The following is a 22458-nucleotide window of genomic DNA, read 5'->3' as shown; positions in this document are numbered from 1 at the left end:
TTATTGGAATTGCACTGAAATTCCCGTGGAGAGCAATCAAGGCTTTCCTGGTTTTGGAAGACTGAAACAGGTGATACAGTTGGTTTGACAGAATGTATCAATTGGATTTTATTCCTGAAGAGCCAAATTAATTTTTAGGTATATGAGAGTATTCAAAGATAGGCTCTAATAAGTTATATATTGAATGTTATTATTTATTGCCTATTATATGTTTCAAACCAATTTAAAACTTTAAATAAACCCAGTAGTATCCTTTATAAAACAACATAAAGTGTAGATTTGAAGATCAAGTGACCCTATTAGGCAAGCAAATTCCACTGCCAATTCTAATCCATGTTGAATCAAAGCATTTTTCAGCTGGGAGGAATCATAGTGACAATTTAATCAAACTCCTGATGTGAACACAAAGGATGAGCCAGAGTGGTTTGCCCAAGGCAGAGCGCTTGGAAGAGCGAGGATCTTAAAAACAAACAAATGAAAAACCCCAAAAACAAAACTGCTTTCACGGCTCTGAGGACATTGTCCTTGTCCTTGGGGAATTCAGGACAGAGAAAAGTTAGAGGAAGTCAACAGTCTTCAAGAGGATTTGAGCCATTTGCAGAATAGAGCAAAGGAAAAAAAGAGCAAAATAAGTTTCTGAGTTTCTATTAAAATGAATCCTTTAACAGGGCACTTACAGGTCATTCAAAAATTTGGTTCTTTTTCTCTTAGCATCATATTCTTCCAGGAACAGATATGCAGTAAGAATTCTTGAGTCCTTCACCAATTGGTTGATCTCAGCCTCAGCAGACCTGAAACTTCACTTTCCTGTGTGTTTCAGGGAAAGAGATATCTTTATTGTATCGTATTGCTTTCACTCTTTCATTTCTCCTTTAAAATCAATGGCGGCCACACCTTTTAAAAAGATTAAGAGTGTGTGGGCTGAGACTCATGATATGATTATCTCGTGATCTACTTAAACAAATTGACAGTCAAAGTATTAGGTGGTTGAGCAATGTGAAAAGTGGTTCAGTATCAACGTGTGCCAGGAAAGTACCATTTAATCTTGTCAGTAAACCCCTTTGGTTCTACCTTCAACATATACATGGAAACTTCTCAATAGCTTCGCTGCTGTTGTCCTAGTACAAGTCCCATCATCTCTTACCTCAGTTACTGCAGTAGTTTCTTAAGGTCTCTTCTTGTTTTGGCCCGAGATCCCTCTCAGCCTGTCCTTATCATAGCAGTCACACTAATCGTGTTTAATTTAAAGTCATATCCTGGTACACCTCTACTCAAAATCCTCCAATAGCTTTCCATGTCCCTCAGGGCAAAGGAAAGAGTCCTTACAATGTCATTCTCTCTCTACTTCTTGGACACCCTTCGCCTGTCCTTGGCACCTTGCTCACTCTATTCTGGTCAAACTGGTTTCATTGCCATTCATCAGTCAGAGAAGGTATATTCTCTCCTTAGGGCATTGCACATGCTCTTTCCTCTATCTTGAATGCTTTTCCCCAGAAAACCAGGTGTTCCCCTCACCCCTTTCATGTTGCACTCAGATGGTAACTTCTCAATGAGCTCTTCCCTGGGACTTGATGTGAAAAAGTAAATTTAAAAAATTAAAAAACACCCCACTTATACCCCCAATGCTTAGTACATAGTAGGTACTCAGTAAATATTAATTCAATGAGAGAAAGACAGTTGTTTGTGTTCCTATTAGCTGTGACATTCACAGCACAGAAGTAAGAATCTCTTTTATGATATCTCTAGCTTCTTATGGGGAGAATAAGACAACCTGTTTAAATCGGAAGACTGCATATCCGAACTGGAGTGAGATCTCAGTGTGATTTTGGACTCAGGTGCTCCACGGTCTTTGGATCAACAGCAACAACAAAAATGGAGGCACCCATCTGGACTTGCCAAGTCTTTATTTTAACAAGTCAGGATGACAAGAAAATGTACAAAACCTATAACCACCATCTCAATCTGCATAATTTATGAAGGAAACACTTGAATTCTAGAAAAGTAGGAAAGACATAATTTTAGAATAAAAAACTCTTTTTCAAATGAAAAAAAAACCCAGCTTCCCAGAAAACGCTCCACACTATCCTGATTTTCTCCCCTGCCAATTCTGGGAGGTGGATCAGTAAGAAAGCTGGGCATTGGACTCCAGGCCCACAGTCCTGCTGTGAAGGAGTGCCAATCATCCACAGGCTGAACTGGCCCCTTCTGCCCACAAGGTCACACAAAGAACAGCGCTTGTGTCTTAATTTTGTCATCAAATATCAAAACTAAACATTTAAGAAAAAGTGATGAGGATATTAGATGTAGAAACAAAAGTGAAAATAATTTTTTAAAGATTTAAGAATTTTTTTTTTTTTGAAGAACCCACTCTGTACGTTATCTTCGGTTCAGGTGTTTGAATGTTGACTTATGTGACTTTTTCAGTGATGAAACATATCAGAGAGAAACAAGGGTGAAAGAGAAGCCATTAAGATATATAGAGAAGTGCTAATCATCTGAATTTTGCCATGGAGCAAACCAAATGCTTAAAGAAGACTGAAAGAAAATTCAAATTTGTAGGGCTTTTAAATAAATAAGGAGCCATTTCTATACAGGCTAATATGTTTGTTTGTTGTTAGAGCTTTCCCTAAGTCATGGAAGGTAAGAGCAAAGTTCTTGAGGATTTAGGGCAGTTGATTATGAAAAAGTTACAAAAGTAAAGAAAGGTCAAAACCTTTTGGTTAATAATAGATGAAAAGAGACAATTTCTGAAACCATATAAACACTAAAATGGAGAAGCAGTTCAGATTCCACTTTTTTAGGAGACTGTAGCTTTCTAAGAAATGCACAATTTTTCACCATATTTTGAGTCAGTGAGATGTTTGTACTATTTTAAGTTTAATAAAAGTTAAAGAGGGAATTCTGAAATTGTTTGAGAGCCTCTGAAGCAATTCTGGAGAGTCTTATAATATCGTATAGAAACCGCATTTCTCAAACCTTTTAAGTCTATGACAGCATGGCACTGTGCCACCAATATTATACAGCACAACAGGGTGCCTTCTAAAATGCCTCACACACATACTGCAGATATATTTGGACATTTCTGTTAAAATAAGTCAGTTCGTGTTCCCCTGCCATATTATAAAGTTCCCATGAGTTATGCTGTCAAATTTGAGGGACGGTTTCAGAATTCTAAATGAAAATCATGTAGATGTATCCAGTACAGAAGAATAAATGTTTTGGTGACAATATTACCTGCTTTATTGTGGGTAGAAATTGGTTATTGAAGATTTTATATAGCATCAGTGAGAAAATCCTTGTGTCCAAGTGTCCAGTGGTTTATAATGACCAAAAATTTGGTTCACTTTATAGGAAGAAAAATGTATGGCCTAAAAAAATGAGTAAAAGTCCTCATGGATTTTAACCTAGTAGTCAAAGGAAATCAGAATCATTTGAAATATAGTAATATTATCTGTTATAACTTGTCAAATATTAGTCAAATTGTTTTAAAATAATTTTGATTTGTATAAACTTATAAGACAATATAACTTCACTTTGGTAATAGTAACATAAACAATCTAGAAGGATCTAGTTGTTGCAGACTTAGCCAGTTCAGCATTTGCAGAAAGTTTAGATAAGGTAGGCTTAAGCCTACTTTTCCTTTACCTATAAATAAAATTTTGTAAAAGAACAAAATTAATAGAATAATAGAAAAAGTTTATTATGGTTAACAATATACTTTGGAAACATTTCTTTATAATATAATAACAAAGCTATTATAATTAATTAGAGAATTAACTAGAGAAGCTGATTATAAGAATTAAGTATCAGCCACTATTAATGAACTAGAACTAGAATTAGGTGTGTAATTTGGGGTTCTTTTTTTTTATTTTTTATTTTTTTGAGACGGAGTCTTGCTCTGTTGCCCAGGCTGGGGTGCGGTGGCGCAATCTCGGCTCACTGCAAGCTCTACCTCTTGGGCTGGGGTTCTTATTTTTAACCATTAATCCATTAATTCTCAGAAATTATTGGTTGTGCTTATAAAAGATTTTGATAAAACACACAGAAATATGTGTTTTGTAAGGAAGAGTAACGTTTTTCCATTTTATAGCAAAATAAAATGAGATAGCGATTACATGATCTAAAAAGGTAAAAAAAAAAAAAAAGGAAGTCACTGTCAGAATAGAAATGAGAATTGAGAGAATAGTATTTCCTTGGTGCTCATTATTTCAGTAAACATAATGGAAGGCATATCAGGGATTTAGACATGCAAAGAAGAGTAAATATGTTCCCTGCCTATGAACAGCTCACAGTACATCAAAGGAGGCAGGTATCCTACTCAATAGCCACAAAGATGACAGGTACATAAACATCTTCCATACAAAGTGGAAAGTAGTACATGGAATTTGAGTGCTCAGCAACAATATCCTGTCTCATTTTCCAGAGTTAGTAGAAACTGTCATATAATGTATGTCTTCATAATGTCAGACAGGAAGGGAACTCAGCCTTGGCAGTAGAGGGAAAGCTAGAGGGGGCCGGTGCATGCATGGATGGGGGTGGATGAAGGCCCTGTGCATCTAAACAGGTGGAGGGCAATGAAGACACTGAGAAAGTTGAAGAAATAGAGTGGGTGGCAAGATCCAGAGAAATTCTCAAAAAAGTAAGCTGTGTTAGCAGCAGCTTGCATGTCAGTTTCACGGAGTGGTCAGGTTTCAGGGTGTCATTAGTCACTATGCTGTGACTAATACTGCCTCCAAGAGAGAGGCAGCATCTTCTTCAGTCCAGTAGTTCCCTGAGTTGACTTGCGAGGTAGCAATCCTGCCTCAGGCAGATTAGAGACTCCTTTAAGAGTCAAATGGGTGTCAGCTCTTCTGCATCTGTGTAGCCAATCTAACCAATTTTGTTGGTAGTAAATTGGTTATTGAAGATTTTAATAGCGTCTATGAGAAAAAGCTTGTGTCCAAGAGTTTATAATGGCAGAACATTTTAGTTCAATTTATGGAAAGAAAGATTTGTTGCTTAAAAAATAAATAAAAGTCCTCAGGGATTTTAACCTACTAACCAAAGGAAATAAGAGCAATTTCAAATATAGTAATATTATCTGGAATAACTTTTCAAATGTTGGCCAAATTGTTTTAAAACATATAATTTGATACAATTTCCTTATATCATTCTGCAGGATCAGAGGCAGAACTCTGCAGTAAGGCATTTACCTGGGAGCCATGAGAGTATAATGTATGTAACTATAAAGTAGTGGGCTGGTTCTGCAAGCCCCACAGCAGAAGAAACTCCATTACTCTATACAGAATGAAATAAAACACACATGCTACATCATTGTGTAGAAAAAGACTGATGTTACCGCTTAATTTGCAGACATGGAATTTCCAGGTTTTAATTTAAAACAAAACATTATTTTAACTCACACAAAGAGAAGCACAGTTATTTGATTAGGTGACTTTATCTTTATTAGAAAATAATGCTAGTGTTAAATAATTCTTTTTTTACCTTTATCTTCTTTTATTGAGCATTGTAACCAGCTTTTTATCAGTTTTATTTTAATGATCAAAACCTTAGTATAAATCTAAAAATTGCCAAAAATAGGTCAATAGTTTTGAAACCAATCTAAATAAAGTGTCTTCAAATAAGAGGAGCAGAGTGGGTGTTATCTCTTTCGTCCCATTAGGAGTGTATTGGAAAGATAAGTGTAATGGAAATAGAATTCCTTATTTTGTCATGTTTCCTCACCTAGCACTACAAGACACAATAATAGCTCTTATTTGGTAACTGTAACATGCCAATACTCATATTTTCAATATTTTTGTCTTAATTGATAAAAACAATAAATATAATAATAGAATTTTTAAAATCATGGAAAATTCAGGAATTCTTGATTTAAAAAATTCTTCACACTGAGAGAAGTTACTTTATAGTAGTATGAAATAACCTCATTAAATCCTCATTGAGTTCCACACGGTGTTTCTCCTTTGCCTTCTGATTTCCAAATCTACTCTCCCCCTTCCTGTACTAATCTCACCTTCAGCAGTTGGCCTTATTGTTCCACTTCACTGAGAAAATGAAGAACATCTGGAAAGATCTACCTCCTTTATCTGCAGCACCATGGAACACTTAAATCTACACTGTGCTCCTTATTCTTTCTTCAGTAATGAAGGGACCAGGTATGCTTCCTTTTTTTCCAATGTCATTGACTCCAGCTGTGGTCTTGGATCCAGCATGTAAAGACTCATAGTGGTTCTAAGATATAGTGGGTACATTCTCACTAATGAGGAAGCACTAATTTTAACTCTTGAACCATCCTACTGTGATATGGTTTGGCTGTGTCCTCACCCAAATCTCATCTCGAATTGTAATCCCCATAATCTCCACTTGTCGAAGGAGGGACCAGGTGGGAAGTGATTGGATCATGGGGGTGGTTTCCCTCATGCTGTTCTTGTCATAGTGAGTAAGTTCTAATGAGATCTGATGGTTTTATAAGTGTTTGACAGTTCCTCCTTCACGAATGCTCCTCTCTCTTGCCCGCCATTATGTAAGATGTGCCTCTTCCCCTTCTGCCATGATTGTAAGTTTCCTGAGGCCTCCCCAGCCATGCAGAGCTGTGAGTCAATCAAACCTCTTCCTTTATAAATTACTCAGTCTTGGGTATTTCTTTATAGCAGTGTGAGAATGGACTAATACATGCTGCTAGGTCAAGACTACTATAAAAATGTTGATTGGGTTATCATACACATAAAATATAAAATCAAAGCCATCAGTATTAGAAGAAATATACACACATATAGTAAATTCATCCCTGCACAATATCATTTAAGACTATTTCTCAAAGTGTGGCTTTTAAATCATCCACATCAGAATCACCTAGTGTGCTTGTTAAAAAGAACAGTTCTGGGCTCTATACCAGATTTATTGAATCAGAAACTTTGGTTGTGGGACTTACAAGCTCTGCATGTGATTAGTGTGGAAAATAAAGTTTGAGAATTCACTTAATATGATGGTACAGATAGTATTATCTACAAGTGTGCTGAGGTTGAAGCCTAAGGGGAGGAAAGTGTACATAAGAGAAGGAAGAATGCCTGTCCAGGCAGGGACAAAAAGAATATACAGAGGGCAGATGGCATGATGGTGAGGATTAGAGCTCCACCTATCAGGTAGGCTATGCTCCTCATATTACTGTATCGCTTCATGATTATTCTCAGTGGAATGGCTAAAACCTTCAAGTAAGCCACCTCAAAATGAAAGCTTCTCTATGGATAGCCTTCACATTGAAATTAAATTACGTGGTGCCAATATTATTTCCCTCCTTTTGCCCCCTGAGCAAGATAAGTGAGTCAAATAGAGCAAGTCAGCACCCAGTACTTTCTTGTTTTTTATCTTCCTGTTCTATGATTGGGGTCTGATGGGAGAAGGGAGAAAGGAATACAAGATAATTGAAGATCCCCATGCTTCTATGACTATTTTCTTTCCTTTTTCTAAGAGCCTATTTCTACCAGCTTAGGGGCCTTAACTCTTTACTGGAGAAAAGCTAAGGAAGCAATTACTGAACTGAAATTTTATTAATTCACAATATATTTTTGTTATTACTTTTATCTCCTCCTTCTCCATGATGTTCCAAATCTTCTTTTATTGGCTTTTGGCTTTTATCCTCAAACATTGTAAGACCCTTCATCATGATAAACTTTTTTTCTTTCTTTTTCTTATCCAATTAATTATTGTCTTATTTTCTCCTTTTTTAAGCCAGATTTCTCAAATGACTAGTATATATCTGCTAGTTGATTCATTTTCTTGTGACCCACTTTATTTCTAGCTCTCCATTTTAATGACATCACTCTCTTAACTATCACCAGAGGTTTCTCTGCTTTTTCAAAAGACTTTCACTCTTTTTCATGTTGATTAAAAGCCATGAAAAATAATGTAGTTTAATAAGTATCACCTGCGAATCCTCCTAGCCAAATTGCTAATGAATCACAAATTTTAGTGAGATAATCATTTAATAAAAATCCATGGCTTTAAATGATAAAAAGAAAAAGAAAGAAAACACACACACACACAAAATCCATGGCTTTGCAGATCTTAGGTGTACATGGCTGTATTTCAATACCATTTGATTATGCCTACTGTTGCATTCACAGCTTAATTTGTTATTTGTTATAATATAGGCTAAGAAAGAAAACCATGGTATGGTATTGTTTAAATATAAATCATATCACATCTAGCTGTCTTTTCACAGATTTCGACCTTTGTATAATTTATAATATCATATAAATGTATTAGTAAAGACTATGCCATTCAATGGTTGTACCACTCACGTATAAGTCAAATTTTGTGCAACTGATCATAGAATATTTTAACTGATGAAGAAAATCTCTACTTACAAGTTGGCAATATAATTAATTTTTTCTTTCTACTGTTTCAATTTTTAAATAATTAAGTATAAAATTTAATAGTAACATTAAATAAAATATTGAAATAAATTATTGAATAAGTAACAAGAAACACAGAATAAAGAATAACATATTTCAGCTCTTTGGGAATTTCAACTTAATATTCACATTTCTCAAAAGTAGGGCTTACTTTGTATTTATAACAAAATATAAGAAATCAAAAATCTTACTTATTCCCTGATCTTATACATATATTGATTGAAACTCTTGAATCAAATACACTATACTAATGAACTATATTTACTAGGGTGATGTTAAAATTTATTGAAGACTATTTGCAGCAGGCTGACATTTAAAGAGTCAGCCTAAATAGGTTTTCTCTTTGTTAGTACATCAACTTGCTGCAGGCATGCTCTAGGCCTAGATGTCTGCTCGAACCCACAGGGAACTGAACTTATTGGCTCATGCCACACAGCATGGTAGCAAAAAAAAAAAAAAAAAAGTCTTTTTGTAGCAGGACAGTAATACTTACATCTGAAACCTTCTTTAAATAACTCTATGTTTCATTGCATATTTCTGGTGAAAGCCACATTTTCCATAACTTCTTTGATTCACTTAAGACCTTTTCTGTCCTCTTATCCTTAAAATGCCAGTATGCTTCCCACAGAGAATGCTAGCATGGTTCTCCAAAAACACACTTAATTAGTGGAGTCAAAATGTAGCAGCATGCTGCCAAGTGACACTCTGTTTAGTGAGGCTGTACTCATGTAATGTGTGGGCTGATTTTAGCATGGAATTTAGCTTTGTAATGCATGGGGACAGATGTATGAGTGGCATGCAATAATTTGGGATCCAAGTCCTATATGTCCTTAAATGCTTTTCATTGAGTTTCTATTATACTTGCACAGGTTAATTTACCATATTAATACTCATTATCTTGAGTAATTTTGACATTAAAAAGAGATGAAAGGATTGAGATATGGAGTAGGGATATCTTCTTTATGTATCTCTATGTATTTTAGTGTGGAGACATAAAGAGAACAACTTCTGGAACTGTGTCAGCTCCTCTGTCAATTCTCTCATTTTATCTAATTACAACTTATTCTTAGATGTCCCTGGCACCACATAATTTTGTGTGTTTCTAAAGTCATGGCAATTAACACATTTTACAACAACTATCCTTTCATTGACTGTCTTGACATAATCCAAATAATCAGTAAATGAATTAAAATAAAATATTCTGGAATGGAAAGGCATAGTAAAATGATTGTAGGTGAACATTACTTTCATTAAAATAAACAGTTGAGACTCAGCCAGAAACTATGACTAGAGAAAAACAATATGAATATAACATATATTGAACATGTAGAAATAATAAGGTAACAGGACTGGAATATGGTTGTGGATAGGTAGGAGAACATGTAAGGGCTCTCTATTTCACACTTTTGACAGCACATAGCCAATCTGCACTTTAAAAAATAGAAACATGTAGTTAAGACTAAAACAAAAGCAACTATAATGACTCTGGCCTCTTAGTATTATTTACAGTTTTCTTTCCTTAATATTAGAGGACTCTTGTGGGAAATATATTTTGTTGGAATTTATTTGAAGTTCATCAGTTGCTTAACCCTTTGTTCCAGTTTCCTTTACTTCTAATAAATTCAGGTAGAATACTTATTTATTTTATATATAAAAATAGCATTATTTTTTGAACTCACTTTTGCAAAATTATTTCCATCCTACCATCTGTATCTGTCTGTATCTATATCTATATCATCTATAGATCTTCCATTATATTTGTACAGATTGGTTTATCAGGTTAATAATTATGTTGAATAATTTAGATGTTACAAAGAAATGGAAGGACTGAGATATAGCATAAGAATATGTTTATATATACATGTGTACGTATGAGAGAGATGGAGGGAGACAGGTGAAATAATGTTCATCAAATATTAGCACTGGTTATTTTTGGATAATAACCCTATCGTAACCCAAGAAACTTATATGGTTTCTCACACCTAATAAGCATCCAGTAAAGATCTGTTGTATGCGTGACAAGAAAGGAAAACTGCATAGAAATACAGCGTGAAGAAGTGGAAGCTCTCAGAATAAAATTCTGATAAGGGAGTGCTGAAAAAGGGGTTTGCCAAAAGACGTGGGAATTTGAAGGAAACAGTAATGATAAATTATAAAAAAAGATGATTTACAGTCACATAAATTTGGGATTTAAAAGATAACGAGAGCTGTTTCTACCAATAAAAAAGCATGTTAAATTTCATACTTGTAAGATTTGTTCAATAGCATTACTCAAGGCAGAGATCACCAATTACCTTTCTTCATTGTTTGAGAAAAAAATAACCTATATTCTGAAAGCCGTACACCAGAAAGAGAAGGAGTGGAATACAGTCACTAAAAATGCCGAAGGACAATGTCAGCCACCCTTGAGTCCCAGCTTCTGCCACATCTTCTCTGCTAAGGCTGATAACTGTAAGACAGAAAACTCCTAATTTAGATAACACAGGTATCTCCATGGACAAATGAAAAGCAAGGACTTGATCTTTAATATAGTTGAGCGGCTCAGTGGAAACAGAACTGAATTGGGAGTCGGAGGACAGTTCCACTCTGGAATAATCACTTCTCTCGGCTTCAGTTTGCTCATCTGTAAAATGAAGATACTAATACCAGCCCTGCGTACTTCAGAGGGTTGCAGCAGAGAACAAATTAGATAAAGTAAGTGAACATGCTCTGTAAACTGTAAAGCACTACACAAGGCAAACTTATCATTATTTAAAGTCATCCTAGATGCTCCACAGCAGGGAGAAAGTGAGAAGGAAAAAGCAGCTTTTCCATTCATTAACACCTTGTCTCTGGGAGACCCTCAGAGAGCTTGTGTAAAGACAGTAATAGAAAGTTAATCACCCTGTGTTAAGCAGACATCTTTGCATTCATTTTAAGGAAATGGCTTTTACTGCTCTGTCTCATTCCAGCAGATATATGTCAAGTTGCTGTGGCTTTCTGACTGCTCTTTCTCAGAATGCTCTACTGGATCTCACTTTTCGGTTGCATACATTGCAGGGTTATTGTTTCAGGCTCTTCTTCCCAAACCTGTTTTACTTTGATGATTTCATTGATTCCCCGGCCTTACTGAGCTCCAAATCAACATTTCCTACTATCCATCGCATACCTAAGTCTGGAAGTTGCACAGGCCCCTCCAATCCAGCATGTCCAAGGTGGAATTCACTGTCTTCTCTGCTACGCTTACTTCTCCTGGGTTTTACATTGCTATTTACTCAGTGTCCCCATTTAGAAAGTACAGAGCCAGGGATATGGTGGATGTTTTTGCACTGCACAACTCTGAAGGGTGTCATTCATACGATGGCGTCTTAGAATGAAGCCAATGCTATGCGGAGCATAACCTGCAGAGCTGAGCATTGCAACCCTCCCAAAAGCTCCACCACTTGCTCCCCTATCTCAATGGTTGCTCATTCCTTGATTTCCTACAATAGAGAAGAGTCTGTGGACAATCCACAATTTATCAGAGGCACTCGCTTTAATACCCACGACACTTTATAATGTTTCTCCCTTTACGTGATGAGTATGGGGACAATATTCTGAGCATGAATTGTTATGTATGAATATTGTAACACAGGAAGGATTTTTGTATTCATTTTAAATGCACATTTTAACACTGCATACAAATGAGTGTTGTGTGTGTATTTAGTAAGGCATCTCCAAAGATAGCCCCCAACAGTGTCCTTTTCCCGTATGCTCATGCTATTCCTGATGTCATGAGATGGAGCTTATTTCCTTTCCCCTTAATCTGCACTGGCCTTGTGACTAGTCTTGACCAATGACATGGAGCTAAGAGAGATGCAATTGAAGATTTGCTAAGTGCTTGCACACTGGAACTTATCCTTTGAAACACTCCTTCTTGGAACGTACATGTCATGCTTTAAGAAAGCCACAAGGAGGAGAAAAAAGGAATATTGGTTAATAGACCCAGTGGAGATACCAGCTGAGAGCTGATACCAACTTGCCAGGCATATGAATGAACCATCTTGGACATTCTATCCCAGTCAAGTACCCAAATGAGTATAGACCCAGCCATCATCACAGGAGCAGAACTACTCAGCTGAGTCAAGTCATCACAAAAAGTCATTAGAAATAATAAATGCTTTTTAAAGTTACCACATTTGGCATGGTTGATAGATAAATAAAAAATGTGTGTGTGTGTGTGTGTGCGTGTGTGTATAATTCACCTCTCTTAGGAGTCTAAGATAAAGACAGATAAGATCACTAGCTAAAAGTGACATGTACACTTTTGGTTGAAATGGTTTTCAAAATAATTCTCTGCAATATTCAGCAAAACTACCTGTTAAGGCAGTGAGAGAAATAATAGAAAAGTTGAAAGGAAGGCCACAGAGATGAGTCAAACAGGCCCTTTGCCTGGGTGGAGAATAGGTCTCTTAAGCCAGGCTTCTGCCTATCCTTTTATGTGTTATGCCTATGTCCAATTGAGTAGATAAAACTGCAAGTGAGGAATAGAATCCATGACTGAGAAGCTTCAAACATTTCTTCCACTTTGAAATTTCATAAGTAGACCACCTACTATCTGCTCACTTGTGTATAAGACCAGAAAACCTGCTGAGATCTAGCTTATCATCTACATGGCTAGTGCCATCATCAACTCTATAGGGGCTATGAGCCAGCCAGCAGAGAAAAGTCTGTCTTTCTCCTCCCAAGTCTTCATCTTAAGTGGAGCCTCCAGGTTCTACATAAATAGCCTAGAGACAAAATATTCTGTATTTGAATAAACTTTAATAAATTTTAGTTGGCATTTTGAAATCCAAGTCCAGCACAATTCCCACGTCCACTTTCACTATTTTAGTTCATATCCTCATCATCTTTGAGACCAAGCCACTGCACTAGTTTCCCAAATAGTCACCCTGTCCATGGTTCCTATTTTATTCCATCAATAATCCATAATGCTACCAGTGATATTTCTAAAACACAAGTCTGTCACCTCACTGCCCATTTAGAAAACTTACTAGTGAAATTTTCAGCATACAGAATGGCGTAATTGTCAAGAGCACTGGAAGATCTTTGATGTTAAGCTAAGGGGTTTGAGTTTCATGCAGCAGGCAATAGAGAATCAAAGTAGTATTTTGAAAATGTCCTTTCAGTCCTTTCAGTATCAGATTTATGAACTGCTTAGATTTTAGCCAGGTCTATCAGTCTGTTAGTTTTGTTTTATAGTGATCAAAATAATTTTCTGCAGGCTTCTATTTTTATACTTTTCCAGCTCTCTTCTGCACATTTTCTCTTTCTCCAATTCACATTCATTCACATGCCTCCCCAACTCAGCCCTCCCTATGCCTGTCTTTCCTTGAGTCTATAATTTTAAACTTATATATGGATAAAATAGCTTTCTGCTTCTCTCTCTTCAATTTCTATCATCTACAGAAAGTGGAACCAGTCCCAATGGATTACATGCATTTCTCCCTTTCTGCAAACTTCTCCCCAAACAGACACCAGCACCTCTGTTAGTATATGTCGACATAGTGTGGAGGAATATGTCTTCTTATAGCTAGGCCACTTTAAGTGGTCCCTCGGGCACTAGGACTAACTCTCTGTGGGTAGTTGATCATGTTTCAATTTAAACTGCCTGGCAAAGTCCCTTCACTTTTCACAAACACAATTGCGATGGCTGTTCCTGGAAGCTAGCAGTCCTTGCCACTTTTGTCACTGGCAGGTAAGGGTGGTAATTAAAATCATTCCACAGCCATCCGCTGAAGTCTCCTCAATTTGTGGCAGACTGGCTGAGTAAGAAGATGAAACATGAGGAGATACTTCTTTTCTTGACTCCATGTAACTCCTGCTAAAGAGCTAGTCAGTGATCTTGCATTGTCAGGAAGTTGGGGTGTCAGCTCAGAAGGGACTTGATGTTTCAGTTCCTCATTTTAGACATATCCTCAGTTCAAGGCTCTCTGCCTTACTGATTAGATGGTCTTCTGCAAATTACTAAGTCTTAATGAGCCTCATTATTCCTATCTGTAAAAGGGTTATAATAGGAACTGCTGAGAATTAGAGATTATCAGTCTATTTGTGTGTGTGTGTATACATCACTGGATATAGCACACAATAAATAGCAGCTGTTATTGTTAGATGATTCTATAAACAACCCCTTTGCCTGTTGCAAGTCTGTCTGGGAATACTGGGAACTCTATCTCTCCTCTCTATTTTCAAGTTTTTAATTTTTAATATCAGCAAGCCATTCTTTCTGGTAAGGCTGAAAATTGTCTCTGAATATTTGGAGTGCTTCAAGTAGCTGAACATAGGAAACTCATGTCAAAAGTTATATCTTGGGACACCCCATGGAATAAGAAGTAGTCCTCAAAGATATAAGGCTATGAGGATTTCAGTTAACCCATTTCCCAGTAATTGTATTACTGCCTCCTGAAAATTTTGTTACACCATGTATGGAAAATCAAATCACAGGCCTCACAAAGAGTGAAAGTCTGAAAGCCTCATACTCTTTTTTTTTTTTTTATGAAAACATTGAGATTTATTTCACCAGTCTTTCATCTTCTAGAAAGTCTCCTGACTGGCAAAATGTCATGTTTAAATCTGTCCTCATTTTGCATTGTGACTAAGTGCAAACTTTCCAAAGTATAATTTTCATCCATGTTGGCAGCCTCAGATAATACCCTGTATTAGCTGTCTCAGGTAGGAACCGCCAGTGCTGCCTAGGTAGCATTTCCAACATATGAAATTATCTGGATACATACCACATACAGGGGTAGTGATGGTTAATGTGCCAACTACGGTTTCTACTGCATCATAAGAAATGCATGCTTGGCTATGTCATTTGTTCACCTTTAAATGTCTTTCCGGGTTCATTCTGAGCACAGCAGCTTTTATACAGAATAAAACAGTCTTGGAGGTTTTATTTTCCCTCTACAAACGCCCAGAGGCTCTAGTTCAGTTAAGAAACAAATTAAATTTTGTGAAAGAGAAACAGTAATATGTTTGAAATATCCAGAGCTGTTCCCCTTCAGCTGCATTTAAAAATGACTAAACTGATTTAATTCACATTGTGATGTCAATTGTCAGATTGGAATAAGATCTTGTGGACCTATCTTTAATGACTAAAAATAGCATGGCAATAAAAATTCTACTGAAAAAACTGCCCTGTTCCCACTGATAGTATCTTAACAAAGCATTACATATAAAAAGTGCTTGCCACATGGTTTTTAAATATTGTGCACTAAAATTCTACTTTATACCAGAAACATGTCAAGTGTTTGGCAGAATCTGCTTAATTATTTTATCCTTGAATACATAAAAAGCAAATTTAGTTGATAGTCTATTGACTTAACCAGAAGTTGTTGATTTAAAAATATTTATATAGTATAATAAAATGTAAGGAGACTTAATAAATGCATATTTTCCCTATTTGGTATCCCCATTAATTTCTCTTCTGTTCTTTTGGTGATGAAATCATAAAATAATCAGCAGTTATACTGCATAGCTCTATTTCTTCTCTAGCTCTGCAGCACTGATGAATGGAAGAAAATTTTGACAGTTTTTTTTAGATCTCATTATCTTTTCCTTTTATGAATGACGGTGGTACCAGAATATCCACACCATTCTCTTTTCTATCATCCTCTGACTGTAAAATAAAATTATAGAACATTTTAGTAAACCTCTGAAATGAAGAAGATTTATTTTAAGATAAGTTTATTTAACATGAGAAAATTTTTTGAAATAGAAATTCAACTTCAGGTTATTCCTTCAATTTACTGTTTTTTTTCTTCTAAATATTTTCTATTCTGCTTAATAGTAATGAATCAGCAACATAATTTAAAAATCTCCACTAAAGTAATGTCACTGATTTGATATTGTATCATATATAACAAATATTATTTTACTATGACAATATTTTCTTGATTCTTAGTCTGAATAAATACTTTTGGAAACTGCTGATTTGAAGTAGAAACTATGGAATTACCCAAGCGTGGAAATCATTTTCACTTTATGATTTAGAGCAGGAGCCAGGATAACTTGTTAGCTTGTCAGTAGTGTAAAGTCTGAGATCCATCACAGTTCTTGACAATTTGGCAATGCACCTGGAACAGTGAGTGGTAGGACTTTCTGGATGAGGAAGGATGAAGGTCTCACAAGCTGATTAATAGAATTTGGAAAAAAATCCATAGGTATCAATAACAAAGATGTTGACTAACCTATATGTCAACCAGGTTATACAAGGTTCTCCACTTTATTGCCTATTAATGAGAAGGAACTGGGGTGGTGGTTGCTGACCAAAGAATAGGAAATAGGGTCAAAGACAGCTGCCGATATAGTGCCCTAGCTGTTAACTCTGTTTCGCACAGGAGACTTCCTTGACAATTTGGATGTTCGTAGACCCAACTGTTAAAAGTATTATGAAGATTCACTCTGTGTAGGCAGAGGTTTTTCCCTATCAGAAAACAGTTCCAGAATCGCAAACCCTCGCTGAGTGAGAAAGGCGAGAAATATGTGACTTCCGAAACCAAATCAATTTTAAGAACTTAGTCTGATTTGCTTGGAAAATGAGAGAAGCATGCAATTCTTGTTAAAGGTGAATGTCAAGAGCAAGGCCATCTAAAGGCTCAGCTTCTCCTGCAATCTATCATGACAAACCTGGATCCATTCAGAGAAGACAATAAAATATCTAAGAATATTTTTGCAGTGAATATTGGCTGCTGTATGGAAGCTTTGTCCCTCTTGGATAGATGTCCCTAAGACAGACAAGCTCCAGTTGGAAACCATAGATGAGGCATTGACTAGTTGTCAGGCTCTTACTGCCCTGGATTTGGCTTGTAATCAGATGCAGGTGTCCCATGGGGAATGAGAAACTGACCCAAAGAAGTCTACAAGTCTAGTGGCTGCATAGATTGAAATGAAAAGTGAGAGCAATGCCTTGTTTTCATGGCATAGAACCCCTTTCTCCCTGCAACCTCTCTCTCCCCACTCCATATCCCCTCCATCCCATGCTACCCCAATTTCAGCTGCTTTAAGGAAAAAGATGTTTAGGGGCAGGGCTGAGGCCAGCTTGTCCTCAAGGGGAACTGAAGGTTATACACACACGTCTGAGTATGCTGGGGAGGCAAGGGAATCAAATGTTTAAGGCTTTGTTGGATACGGGGCCCACCAGCCCATCTGGTCCTGCTTAGGAGAGGGGACATCCAAATTCAACTATGGGGTTTGGATGGAATTCACCATGGAAAGGGAAGCTAAAGTGGTGCTGTGAGTCAATTTCTTTGGGAGAATTTAATGTACTATTTTTGCAGCTTCCACGCAGAATATATAATTGGTATTGTATGCCTGTACTAGGAATGTTCATAAATATCATAAGGGATCTCCCAATTCAAAAGAGCCACAAATAGAGAGGTGTTAGTACCTTTAGTGTCTCACAAACCTAACGACCCCTTGAGCTAAATGACTGTGACTGATGATTTTTACCAATTGGATCCTCTGGCAAAAGGAGACAGCCTTCACCCAGAGGCACCCCTAAGGGGTTTGGAGATCTTTGTCTCTTAGATGCAGATACCAGGTACATGCTCTTGTAAATTACTGTATTCTTGCTGAAACTGAATATCTGAGGCATAGAAGCCTTGTGGCTGGCCTAATGTCTCTATTTTGGGGTAAGTCAACTTGGACTCAATTGTGTTAAAAGGTGGAAAAGACAAGCAAGCCTCAATTGTTGGATAGAAATGTTTATTCAAGAACGTAGCTGGCCTGAACCCAGCAGCATCTGAGCTTTAGGTAAAAAGGAGGCACTCTATTGCCTGAACCACATTGCTGGCTTAGCAGTTCCCATAAATGCCTAGGCCTGGTTCAATAATAGTTCAGCTGGGCTGAAACCCAGTGATGTCCCCTGGACTGCTGCAGCTGTACATATGAAGTGCCAGTCATGCAAAATCAAAAATGAATGTGGCCACTTGGCTCAGTGGGCAGAACTCAAGGCTGTTCTCATAGTCTTGGCCAATATTCCCCTTGATAAATCTTGTTATAATTTTACTGATTCTTGGGTGATTTCCATTGGCCTAGCTTTTTGGTTCGACACTTGGAAAACTACAGACTGGAAGAGTAATGTTATCCATCTTTGAGACCATAAATAGGGTAAACAAACTGTGGCTGTTGATTGAAGTGTCTGAGTCGTTCACTGACCTCAGTGACTAACAATGGAGAAAAGACCATTCTCTGATGAGACTGACTGGAATCAAAGTCTGATCAAGCCTGTACCTCCTGGATGGCTACCGTTGCTCCCTAGAGGCATCATTATACTGGCCGTGGCAACACATCTGCCATCTTATACCAGGCACAAAATAAAAAGCCTTAAGTATCTCCGGCTGTAGATTATGTACCCCACAGATGATTGTGGAGATACTTCAAAGATAAGGCTAGCCTTGATTTCTTGCGAGATCTTCCTGGAGGAATAACTGACTTGTTATTTATGCACATTCTGTTTTCAATTAGTAATAATCGTGCTTCAGATAAACCTCACTGGCTATGATACTGCCACTGCGCAAAGCTATTTATGTACATTCTGTGAGGCAATTATTAACTCCAGGGAGAACAACATATGGTACAAATATAATCACGTTGTTCTACATGGCTCAACTATAAATAATATTTAAATAGGCATAGAAATGAGAACACTAAATATTGTGATGCAACGCTATTGTGAATATTGGGGAAGCAACACGTGTAGGTGGGTGTGTTTTGTGATAGTGGAATAAGCTGTTGGGGAGCTACATCTTCATCTTCCATAGTAGGAAGTCAGATATTGTTTAATAAAAAATTAAGAAATAGTATAAAATGCTATTTGAGAATAAAGAAGTATACACCATAAGAAACAACTAAAACAGCTGAAAGTGGTTGCCATTGAGAGTGAGAATTGGGATGAACAGGGGGTGGAACCAGAGGCTGTGGGATGTTCTTAAGCCTAACTGAACTGTTTGACTTTTAAAACTATATGCCTACTGTATTGGTCTGCTAAGGCTGCCATAACAAAACACCACAGCCTGGATGACTTAAACAGCAGAGATTTCTTTTTCACAGTTCCGGAGATTAGAAGTCCAAGATCAGGCTGTCAGCAGGTTTGGTTTCTTCTGGGGCCTCTATCCTTGGCTAGCAGATGGCTGCCTTCTCCCTCCATCCTCACATGGTCTCTCCTTTGTGCACATGCACCACTGGTGTCTCTGTATGTCCAAATTCCCTTTGTATAAGGACATCAGTCAAATTGGATTAGGGACCACACTAATGGCTTCATTTTAACTTAATCTTATCTCAAAAGGATCATCTCCAAATACAATTATATTCTGATGTACGGGGGGTTAGGCTTACAACATATGAATTTGGAGGGGGATACAATTCAGCCCATGAAACATGCATTAATAATTAAAAAATCCCGTCTCAAAAACCTCCTTTAGATGTAAACCATGTAGAAGGCAATAATTATCTGGAGCATCAAACTCCATTGTCAGTCCCAATTGCAATATCCATAGATCTTATTATACTTTGTTCATTATGCCAAGACTTAGAAACATTTAATTTTAGATTTATTTATTATGTTTCAGATAAGATAGCAGTAACCACAATATCTTGGGATAATGCCACACCACTCTTTTCATCAGCTGTATCCACTCAATTCTGCAAAATGTCCTTTCCACCACCTGCTTTCTTGGGTTCCCATCAGCAGTTCTTCAAGCCTCTTATCCATGTTTTGTCCCGTTTTCTGTATTTTTTCTTCTCTTTTTGACTTATTACCTTATGTTTTTTTCCACAAGAACCTAACCGCAGAATTCTTGCCTGTTCTTGTAGAAGAAATTGGATGTTTATGACAAGAGAAGAAAAAAAAGAAATCCACCTCTTCGGTCTGTAAATAGTGGCTTCTGTAATTCAAGCTGTGTTCCATAAGTCAGAACTAGCTCTGGTTAAATCCACTGGGAGACATACATGAATCTGCCAACAAATATTGTGATTCCAAATGAAGTTTTGTAAGCAGTGATATGAATCCTGCTTTATCACAATGCATTTGAGAAGATCCTGACAGAAATCCTGAACAAGATTAATGGGGAAATATGAAATGGGATTGAACTAAGAGAGTTAATATATTGCCTGGTACCACTATCATTCTAAAATAGCAGAAAACATTGGAAGAGGCTATAAATACATACTGAAAAGAACTCAGTACTTACAACATGATAGAAGAAGAAATGTTCAGAAGCATCAATTGTATTAAAGACAGCAGAAAGAGTAATAACCAAAAATACATTTACTCAACATTTACACTCTACTCAGTCCTTGCAAATAATTGCCTTGCAAATATTATACACTCCCATAAGAAAATCAATTTTTATTATATACTTTTGTGACATATTAACCCCATCTTCTTTTTCCAGATGGTTTCACTTTCTTAACTGGCATTATACTATTATTATGTTAAGAAGATATTAAAACATACCACAAGGATAATTAAACTCCAATTCACCATACTTTGTTTTAATTACTCAATTACCAAAGCAAAACAAAATTTAAGTAAAATTACATGAACATATAATTGAAGAAGCACATGAACAAATATGGTAAAAGGAAAATTTGGGTTGAAAAATCATTGCATTCCCTGAGCACCCTACCATTGCTCAGACATTATGCCAGACATTATGCTAAGTGTTACAGACATGTAAAGGTAATGAGAACAAATTTCCCTCCTAAGACTTTGCAACCTACTTGGTGACACTGACCTGCATAAGTATAAACATTTATAGTGTGTGTCTGACTTCCTCTCATTTTTCCCCCCTCATAATTCTGTTAAATCAAACTGAAAGAAAACAGAAAGGTCTTGAGTAAAAGAAACTTCACATTCTTTTACTCAAAGAGCCACTCTGATTTCCTCTGGGGTAGGCATTGGGCAGCACTCCTAGCTATATGTCTTTTGCCTGGCATTTAAACTTTATCTTGATTATTATTGCATGCCAGTCATGAAATTATATTTATATTATTTGTCAAGTTCCTCATTACTCTGAAGAAAGATGCTACAGGAGTTTAAATAACCCTACGTCTACAAAGGCACAGCCTGGCTTAAAGCTAAGCATTTCAGTTACACTTATGCTTTAGGTATTAGCATCTCTTTGTAACGCAAATTGTTCTACAGCAAAAGGATTTTCCCGGTTCTGGGAACCTGCGTGGCGAGCGCAGCAGAGTCTAGCTCACCTGCAATGTGCAGTAGTTCTGCTGCATTTTATGGGTACCTCGAAGCAGCAGTGAGATCAGCCTGACTCGGCTTAATATGATAAGTCATGGTTTGTGCCAGTTACTGGCATAATGTGTTAAGTGTGTGTGGGTATTAAGAATTTTTTTAGCATAAATTTTATGGGAAAATTATGAACAAGAAATGAAATTTACAGAATTCAAATTATGAAGAGTCTCTGATATACTTTGGATATTTATCCCTGCCCAAATCTCACGTTGAATTGTAATCCTTACTATTGGAGGTGGGGTCTGGTGGGAGGTGTTTGAGTCATGGGGGTGGATCCCTCATGGCTGGGTGCTGTCTTTGAAATAAGTGAGTTCTCACATGATCTGGTGGTTGTAAAATGTGGCATTTCCTCCCCCGCCCTCTCTCTCTTGCTCCTGCTTCTGCCATGTGAGACACCGGCTCTCCCTTTGCCTTCCACCGTGATTATAAGCTTCCTTAAGCCTCATCAGAAGCCAAGCAGATGCCAGGACTATGCTTCCTGTACAGCCTGTAGAACCATGAGCCAATTAAACATCTTTTCTTTATAAATCACCCAGTTTCAGTTATTTCTTTATAGCAATGCAAGAACGACCTAATACCCCCTCCTACAATTTCTTCAGAGGGAACAATATTGCCAAAATCAAATTGCTTCAATACAATTTTAACTAAATCATTCAGATTTTGATTTTCCTTTGTTTTCCTATATTGTTGTTATTATTTTCTGAAACCATGTTCTAAAGTACAAATTTTGACTTTTACTTTATGAAAATTTAAGCTTTTATCTCACCTTTTTAT

The 22458-nt window shown here is 36.8% G+C and overlaps 1 protein-coding gene and 1 pseudogene across 27 annotated transcripts in view; both read right to left on the bottom strand.

Annotated features, from left to right (window-relative positions):
• The window catches only part of GRIA4 (glutamate ionotropic receptor AMPA type subunit 4), a 372097-nt gene that overhangs the window by 138501 nt on the left and 211138 nt on the right, over nt 1-22458 (bottom strand). The window contains exon 1 of one of the 27 annotated variants that reach the window (XM_011542777.4): nt 1145-18959. The exons of the other annotated variants lie outside the window; for them this stretch is intronic. The gene's annotated coding sequence lies outside the window, so the exon portion shown is untranslated. Of the gene's footprint in view, nt 1-1144; nt 18960-22458 lie in introns of those variants that run through there. 27 annotated transcript variants of the gene reach the window in all.
• Nucleotides 18820-18956, bottom strand: RNU4-55P (RNA, U4 small nuclear 55, pseudogene; annotated as a pseudogene).

This window comes from Homo sapiens, chromosome 11 (genome assembly GCF_000001405.40).
Source record: "Homo sapiens chromosome 11, GRCh38.p14 Primary Assembly".
In the NCBI taxonomy this organism is placed as follows: Eukaryota; Metazoa; Chordata; class Mammalia; order Primates; family Hominidae; genus Homo; species Homo sapiens.
This window is presented reverse-complemented; position numbering and strand designations above follow the sequence as displayed.